This window comes from Homo sapiens, chromosome 2, assembly GCF_000001405.40.
Source record: "Homo sapiens chromosome 2, GRCh38.p14 Primary Assembly".
NCBI classification, from domain to species: Eukaryota; Metazoa; Chordata; class Mammalia; order Primates; family Hominidae; genus Homo; species Homo sapiens.
In genome coordinates, this window is record NC_000002.12 from 191,450,130 (window position 1) to 191,459,058 (window position 8,929).

At 38.1% G+C, this 8,929-nt stretch overlaps 1 annotated feature.

Moving 5' to 3' along the window:
* Positions 5,932-6,443: an enhancer, noted in NCBI's record as "NANOG hESC enhancer chr2:192320787-192321298 (GRCh37/hg19 assembly coordinates)". NCBI's record gives its function as "activates a minimal SCP1, AML or CMV promoter by ChIP-STARR-seq in naive H9 embryonic stem cells {active_cell/tissue: H9 hESC(naive)}" and the evidence as "EXISTENCE:reporter gene assay evidence [ECO:0000049][PMID:30033119]".

Genomic DNA, 8,929 nt, shown 5'->3' on the forward strand with positions numbered 1-8,929 from the left:
AAAGGTAATCTCATTTTATATACAGTGAGATTAAGTGGTATTAATTATATAATTTGATGAGTTCTGATAAATGTATATATTATCAACAAACTCAAGATGTAGAATATTTTTATCACCCCAGAAAGTTCCCAATGACCCTGATATGGTTTGGCTGTGTCCCCACCCAAATCTCATCTTGAACTGTAGCTCCCATAATCCCCACATGTCATGGGAGGGACCCAGTGGGAGGTAATTGAATCATGAGAGTGGGTTTTTCCCATGCTGTTCTCATGATAGTGAATAAGTCTCACAAGATCTGATGGTTTTATAAAGGGCAATTCCCCCGCACACGCTCTCTTACCTGCCACCATGTAAAACGTGGCTTTGCTCCTCTTTCACCTTCCGTTGTGATTGTGAGGGCTCCCTAGCCGTGTGGAACTGTGAGTCCACTAAGTCTCTTTTTCTTTGTTAATTACCCAGTCTCAGGTACTTATTCCTAGTAGTATGAAAATGAACTAATACAGACCCCTTTTAGTCACCTTTCCCATAAGCAACTGTACTGATGTCTATCATCATAAGTTAGCTTACCTATTCTTGAATATAAAAAAATGGAATCATGAAGTATATATTCTTCTGTGTCTGTTTTGTTGCTGTTGTTCAGTATCATGTTTTTGTGGTACATCCATGTTGTTGCATGTATTAGTTTATTTTAGAAAGTTACTCTATAACTAGGAAAGTATAGAGTAGAGGTAGATTTAACTTTTAACAAGCTGTCAGTTTTCCCCAAGTTTTTGTACCATTTTTCATTCCAACAGTCATGTATGTGAATTCCAATTGTTCTTCCTTACCAACACTTACCTTAAGCCTTTTTTTTTTTTCTTTTTTTTTGAGACAGAGTCTCTGTCACCCAGGCTGGAGTACAATGGCACAATCTCAGCTCACTGCAACCTCCGCCTCCTGGGTTCAAGCGATTCTCCTGCCTCAGCCTCCAGAGTAGCTGGGATTATAGGCACCTGCCACCCGCCTGGCTAATATTTTTGTATTTATAGTAGTGATGGGGTTTCGCCATTTTGGCCAGGCTGATCTTGAACCCGTGACCTCAGGCTATCTGACCACCTCAGCCTCCCAAAGTGCTGGGATTACAGGCATGAGTCACCACGACTGGCCCTTAAGCCACTTTAGTGGTTTAACTTTAGTGGGATGTGTGTCTCGTTATGGTTTAAATGAGTATGGCTCTGATGACAAATGCTGTTAATCATCTTTTCATGTGCCTGTTGGCCATTGGTATATTTTTATAATAGTCTGTTCAGATATTTTGCCCACTATTTTTACTGAGTTGTGTGTGTTTTTATTATTGATCTATAGAAGCTTCTGTATATTCTGGATATAAGTCCTTTGTTGGATGTATGTATTGCAAATATTTTCTTTTTGATGGCTTGCCTTTTTATTTTCTTAATGCTATTTTTTGGTGAGAAGTTTTTAACTTTAATGAAATTCAATTTATCAGTATTTCTTTTTATGTTTATTGCATTTTATATCCTCTCTAAGATATCTTTACCTACTCTAAGTTTGCAGATATTCTATTTTGTTTTTTTCTAAAAACTTTCTAGTATTAACCCTTACATGTAGGTCCATAATTCATCCCAAATTAATTTTTGTGTATGGTATAAAGTAGAAGTTGAAATTATTTTTTTCTATATATTTATTCAATTGTACCAGCACTATGTGTTGAAAAGACTTTCCTTTTTCCATTAAATTGGCATATTGGTGCCCATGTCAAAAATCAGTTCACCAAATGGGGTTTATTTCTGGATTCTCTATTCTGTTCCATTCCATATTTATCTTAAGCCAACATCATACTTGCTTGATTCTTTTGTTTTAGAGTTAGATTAGAAATTAGATTGTGTGTGTCCTCTATGTTTGCTTCTATTTTTGAAGATTATTTTGGCTCTTCTAGGTCTTTCACATTTCCTATATATTTTATAATCAACTTACCTATTTCTAGAAAACAATCTAGAGGGATTTTGATTGGAATTGCATTTACATCTGTGGATCAATTTAGGTATTATATTAGGTGACGTTCCCAGGAAACAGACTCTGAGACTCTGATATTTACAACCAGGCAGTTTATTACCTAGTGCTTTTATGAACAATACCTGTGAGGCCTGAGGAAAGAAGGATTAGGCAGAGGGGGAAGTCGAACTGCAGCACAGTTACAACAAGGGCCTCAATCCATTCTACAGGGAGCTCTGAAGCTGAGATGGCCCTTCTGAGTTGTTCCACCTTAAGGGAAGGGGGCTATAACTTTATTTCTGCATGCACCAATCATTGAAAGAAGCCTGTCCGAAAGGGCTCTCTTCAGCCAAGAGCAATTCTAAGAAAGAGATTCAGTTGAGGACCATAAGTGGCCAACACTCCAAGCAGCTGAGGAAATGCCTCAGTTCTGAAAAGGGAATCCAGGAGGTGCAGCACATTTTATATTGCAAGAGAATGATGGGCAAGATAAATCACATCTTAGTTTTGAGTTTTCCAAGCTGTCAACATGGTATAGTTCTCCATTTATTTAGGTCTTCAGTTTCTCCCTGCCAAGTTTTGTAATTTTTGATGTAGAAATCTTGCATGTTTCTTTTTTGAAAAATTACTTCTGGCTGGGCATGGTGGATCATGCCTGTAATCCCAGCATTTTGGGAGGCCGAGGTGGGGGATCACTGGAGGTCAGGAGTTCAAGACCAGCCTGGCCAACATGGTGAAACCTTGTGTCTACTAAAAATACAAAAATTAGCCAGGCATGGTAGCGTGTGCCTGTAGTTCCAGCTACTCAGGAGGCTGAGGGAGGAGAATCGCTTGAGCCAGGGAGGCGGAGTTTGCAGTGGGTTGAGATTGTGCCACTGCACTCCAGCCTGGGCGACAGAGTGAGACTCCATTTAAATATATATATATATTTCTATATATGTAGAAATATATATATTTCTATATATGTAGAAATATATATATTTCTATATATGTAGAAATATATATATTTCTATATATACTTATATATAAATATAAATATATCTAGATATATATAGAAATATATATTTCTAATAATTGTATAGTTTTTGAGGACATTCTAAGTGGAATTCTTAAAATTCTATTTTTTCAGTTATTTGCAACTAGTATACAGAAATACAATTAATTTTTGTATATTGACTGTATCCTGTAACCTTGCAAAATTTACATATTAATTATCATAGTTGCTGTGTGAATTTTCTACTGTTGTAAAACAAATAACCACAAAATTAGTAGCTTATAACCGTGTTTTAGCTCATGGTTTCCATGGTTCAGCCTCTGGGCATGGCGTACCTGAGCCCTCTGGTCACAGTCTCACAGGTTGCACTCAAGGTGTCAGCTGAGCAAGAAAACAGAAGCCCCAGCCCTACAACCACAGGGTCTGAATTCTCTCAACACCAGCATAAGTTCAGAAGAGGACCCTGATCTCCAGAGAGAAACGCAGCTCAGCTGACACTTGGAGTGCAACCTGTGAGACCCTGAGCTGAGGGCTCAGGTAAGTCATGCCCAGAGGCTGAACCATGGAAATCATAAGCTAAAACACAGTTATAAGCTACTAATTTTGTGGTTATTTGTTTTGCAATAGTAGAAAATTCACACAGCAGCTATGATAATTAATATGTAAAATTTGCAGGGTTACAGGATACAGTCAAGGATACTGGCCTTGCTTGCTTTTAATAAGTTACTTCTAGTTGATCTTAAAACTCCCACTAGCAAGCCAAGCAGTACATAACTCCCACTAGCGTCCTCATTGATAACATCTCTGACTGTGGGTCACTATAGCAACAGGTGCTTAAAGTTGTTTTTCAGCAACTAGGGGGCAGCTCTTTCCGACTCAAGCTGGTTGAGACCACCCACCCTTCCACTCTGGGTCTGTACGGGTGACCGAAGAGTGACCTTTTGACGTCAGAGAGACAAAACTCCACCCTTAGATCATCTGACACCACCATTTTATGAACATGCATCATGTGAAGAGCCGTGTAGCTCAATTACATTTGTGCAGAAACCCCAATTATCTCACATTTCCTACCCACCAATCACCTTTCCCATATCTTGGATCACCTTGCTCCTCCATCCCATAAATATTCCTAAAACCCCATCTTCGGGCAGGCTGACTTGTGACTTGTTCTCCTGCTTCCTCACTTGGCTGCTTCATGAATAAACTCTTGCTTTTGTGCAAAACCTATCATCACAACAATTGGCTTGCTGTGCACAGACAGAATGAGCTTGGCTCAATAATACTTCCATGGAACCTTATAGGCCTCTCACAACATGTTGGTTTATTTCAAGGCCAGCAGGAGAATCTCTCCCTCCAGTCTGCTGAGACAGTCTTACCTAAGGTAACATAATCATGGAAACAATTCATCACCTTAGTCATATGCTATTGACTAGAAGCAAGTCACAGGTTCTGCACACTCAAGAAGAGGTATAACTCTTCTTATATATATAAAGGTATATAAAGGTATAACTCATTGGGGTCCCTTAGTGCAGCTGTCCCCAATGTTTTTGGCACCAGGGACCAGTTTCATGGAAGACAATTTTTTCACAGTTGGAGGTGGGGAATAATTTCAGGATGAAACTGTTCTACCTCCGATCATCAGGCATTAGATTTTTATAAGAAGCACGCAACCTAGACCCCTCACATGCACAATTCACAATAGGGTTCATGCTCCTATGAGAATCTAATGCTGCTGATGATCTGACAGGAGGTTCAAGTGGTAATGTTTGCCCACCGGCCATTCACCTCCTGCTGTGTGGCCTGGTTCCTAACAGGCCATGGACTGGTACCCGTTCCTGGTCTGGGGCTTGGAGACCCCTGCCTTAGGGTGTGTCTGCCACAGTTTCCTTAGGATTTTCTACATGAATAATCATATTGTCTGTGAATAGAGTTTTACTTCTGAATTTTCAACATTTATGCCGTTTATTTCTCTGATTGCACTGGCTAACACCTCTAGTCAATGTTAACTAGAAGCAAGAGTGAGTATCTTTGCCTTGTTCTTGCTCCTTAGGGCAAAAGGTGTAATATGTCATCATTAAGGCATGATGGTATTAATACATGTAGGTTTGTCATAGATGCCCTTTATCAAATTGAGAAAATTCCTTATATTCCTAGTTTGTTTAAAATCATGAGTTGGTTTTGAAATTAATGATGCTTTTTCCGTATTGATTAAGACAATATATTTTTTCTCCTTAATTCTAATTATTAATCCTGGTAATTGTATCACATGATTTTTGAATATTAAACCAACTTCTTATTCTTGAGATAGATACTCTTGGTCATGAAATATTATTCTTTTTACATATTACTGGATTTGATTTCCTACAATTTTGTAAGAATATGTTCATGAAGGATATTGTTCTGTAATTTTCTCTTTTTTTTTTAGACGAAGTCTCACTCTGTTGCCAGGCTGGAGTGTAGGGGCACGATCTCGGCTCACTGCAACCTCTGCCTCCCGGGTTCAAGCAATTCTCCTGCCTCAGCCTCCCGAGTAGCTGGGATTACAGGCATGCGCCACCATGCCCAGCTAATTTTTGTATTTTTAGTAGAGATGGGATTTCACCATGTTGGCCAGGATGGTCTCTCTCTTTACCTTGTGATTCACCTGCCTTGGCCTCCCAGAGTGCTGGGATTGCAGGCATGAGCCACTGCGCCCAGCAATTTTCTCTTATTTTTGATGCTTTGTTATCAGGGTTATACAGGCCTCATAAAATGAGTGTTCTGTCTTTCTCTATTTTCTGTAGGAGTTTGTGTTGGACTGGTATTATTTATTCCTTAAATGTTTAGTTGACTTCGCTTGTAAAACCACCTAGGCATGCTGTCTCTGTTGTGGGAATTCTTTTGATAATGCATCAACAGATTTTCTTCAACAGATATAGGCTATGTTCCATTTTACTTGTGTCACTTTCGTTTTTATTTTTATTTTTATTTTTTTTATTATTTTTTTTTTATTGATCATTCTTGGGTGTTTCTTGCAGAGGAGGATTTGGCAGGGTCATAGGACAATAGTGGAGGGAAGGTCAGCAGATAAACAAGTGAACAAAGGTCTCTGGTTTTCCTAGGCAGAGGACCCTGCAGCCTTCCGCAGTGTTTGTGTCCCTGGGTACTTGAGATTAGGGAGTGGTGATGACTCTTAACGAGCATGCTGCCTTCAAGCATCTGTTTAACAAAGCACATCTTGCACCGCCCTTAATCCATTTAACCCTGAGTGGACACAGCACATGTTTCAGAGAGCACCCGGTTGGGGGTAAGGTCATAGATCAACAGCATCCCAAGGCAGAAGAACTTTTCTTAGTACAGAACAAAATGGAGTCTCCTATGTCCACTTCTTTCTACACAGACACAGCAACAATCTGATTTCTCTATCTTTTCCCCACATTTCCCCCTTTTCTATTCGACAAAACCGCCATTGTCATCATGGCCCGTTCTCAGTGAGCTGTTGGGTACACCTCCCAGACGGGGTGGCGGCCGGGCAGAGGGGCTCCTCACTTCCCAGAAGGGGCGGCCGGGCAGAGGTGCCCCCCACCTCCCTCCCGGATGGGGCGGCTGGCCGGGCGGGGGCTGCACTTGTGTCACTTTCATTGCATTCAAATTTTTGACATTATTGATGTAGAGTTGTTCATAATATGCTCTTATCTCTTAAGGTCTGAAAGGTATATTTCAGTATGGATACTGGTAATTCCTGTTTGCCCCCTCTTTTTTCTTAATCATTTTTGCAAAGCATTTCAAAAACCTTGTCAATTCTTTCAAAGAATCACCTTTTGGCTTTGTTGATTTTCTTTATTCTTAATCTATTTTATATTAGGTTAGTTTTGCTCTTTATTATTTCCTTTATCATACTTTGGGTTTAATTTGCTTCCCCTCCCCCACCCCCACCCACCAATCTTCTTAATGTAGAACTTAGATCATTGATTTTTAAATCTTATATTTATTTATTTTTATTTTTGAGATGGAGTCTGTCTCTGTTGCCCAGGCTGGAGTGCAATGGCACAATCTTGGCTCATTGAAACCTCTGCCTCCCAGGTTTAAGTGATTCTCCTGCCTCAATCTCCTGAGTAGCTGGGATTACAGGCATGTGCCACCACACCTGGCTAATTTTTGTATTTTTAGTAGAGATGGGGTTTCACCATGTTGGTCAGGCTGGTCTCAAACTCCTGACCTCATGATCCACCTGCCTCAGCCTCCCAAAGTGCTGGGATTACAGGCGTGAGCCAATGGACCTGGCCATCTTTTATCTTTTATCTTTTTAAAATATAAGCATTTGTAGCCATAAATTTCCCTTTAAGAACTGACTTAGCTGTATGTCATAAATATGATGTATTTTCTTATCACTCAGTTTGAAATTTTCTAATTTCCCTTGTAATATCTTGTTAGACTCATGTTATTTATTACATGGAATTTATGTCAAATTTTATTACATGGAATATTAAATATTCCAAATATTTGGAATTTTTCTAAGTATCTTATGTTATTGATTTCTAATTTAGTTAGATGTGATCAGAAAATATACTTTGTAAGATTTAAGTGCTATGACGTATACTGAGATTTATCTTACGGCCCAGCATAAGGTCTCTCTTGGTGAGTGTTCAATGTACATTTGAGAAAAATGTGTATTCTAGAATTGTTAGATGTAGTGTTCTATAAATATCAATGAGGTTAGGTGGTGGATAGGGTTGCTCAGATCTTCTATACCCTTATTAATTTTCTTTTAGTTTATCTGCTGTGCAATTACTGGAAAGGGAGTGTTAAAAATTCCCAACTCTGATTGAAGGTTTTTCTAGTTCTTCCTTTAGTTCTGTAAGTTTTTGCTTCATGCATTTTGGAGCTCCGTCATTAAGTGCATACTCATTTATGATTATGTCTTCCTGATGACTTTGTTTTGTCTTTATGAAAAGTCTTCATCTCTGGTAATAGTTCTTGTCTAGAAGACCACAGTATGTTATATTAATACAGCCACTCCAATTTTCTTATGCTTGCAGTTTGCATAGTATGCCTTTTTCCACCCTTCTACTTTGAGCTTATCTGTGTCTTTCTAGTTAACGTGTATCTCTTGTACACAACACATAGTGCAGTCTTTCCTTTTTCCCAGTCTGATTATATCTGCCCTTTTATTGGAGTGTTTATATCTTTTTTATATTTAATGTATTTATTGATACAGTTGAACTTAGGACTACCATTTTTGCTAGTTGTTTTTTCTCTAATCTATGTTTCTTATTTACCCCCACCCCCCCATTTCTAGTATTCCTGTCATTTTTGGAGGGAGGAGAGTGGTTAATCAGATATATTTTAGTATTCCCATTTAATACTTCTATTGGCTTTTTGGTTACACATCTTTGTAATTTCTTTTTAGAGGTTACTCTGGTGATTACAATATGTATCCTTAACTTATTGTTTAATTTAGAACTATGTATATATTGTTCAACTTTAGGTAAAATGTAAGAGCCTTCCAATATTACCTTCTGCTATCTTTGTGTCATCCTTCTCATGTATTTTATATCTATGTATGTTATAAACTTCATAATTTAATAATACAATATTATTTGCTTTAAAAAGTGAGAAAATTTTTAAATAAATAGAGAAAAAAGATTTAAAAAATGCTTTTACTCACATGTTTACCATTTTAGTGCTTTTCATTCTTTCCTGAAAGTCTGTGTTTCTATCTGGTGTTACTTCCTTTCAGTTTGAAAAAAAGTCTTCCCTTGTTATTTTAGTAGTGCAGGTCTGTACTCTCTCTCTTCTTCTATAACTTTAACTACATAGATCTACATAGATATTGCACTGTTTGATATTGTCCCATATGTCACTTAAACTCTAGAAATTAAAAAAAGCAAAATTTTTTCATGTTTTTTTCTATCTGTTCCATGGATAAGATTATTTCTATTGATCTATCTTGAACTTCACTGA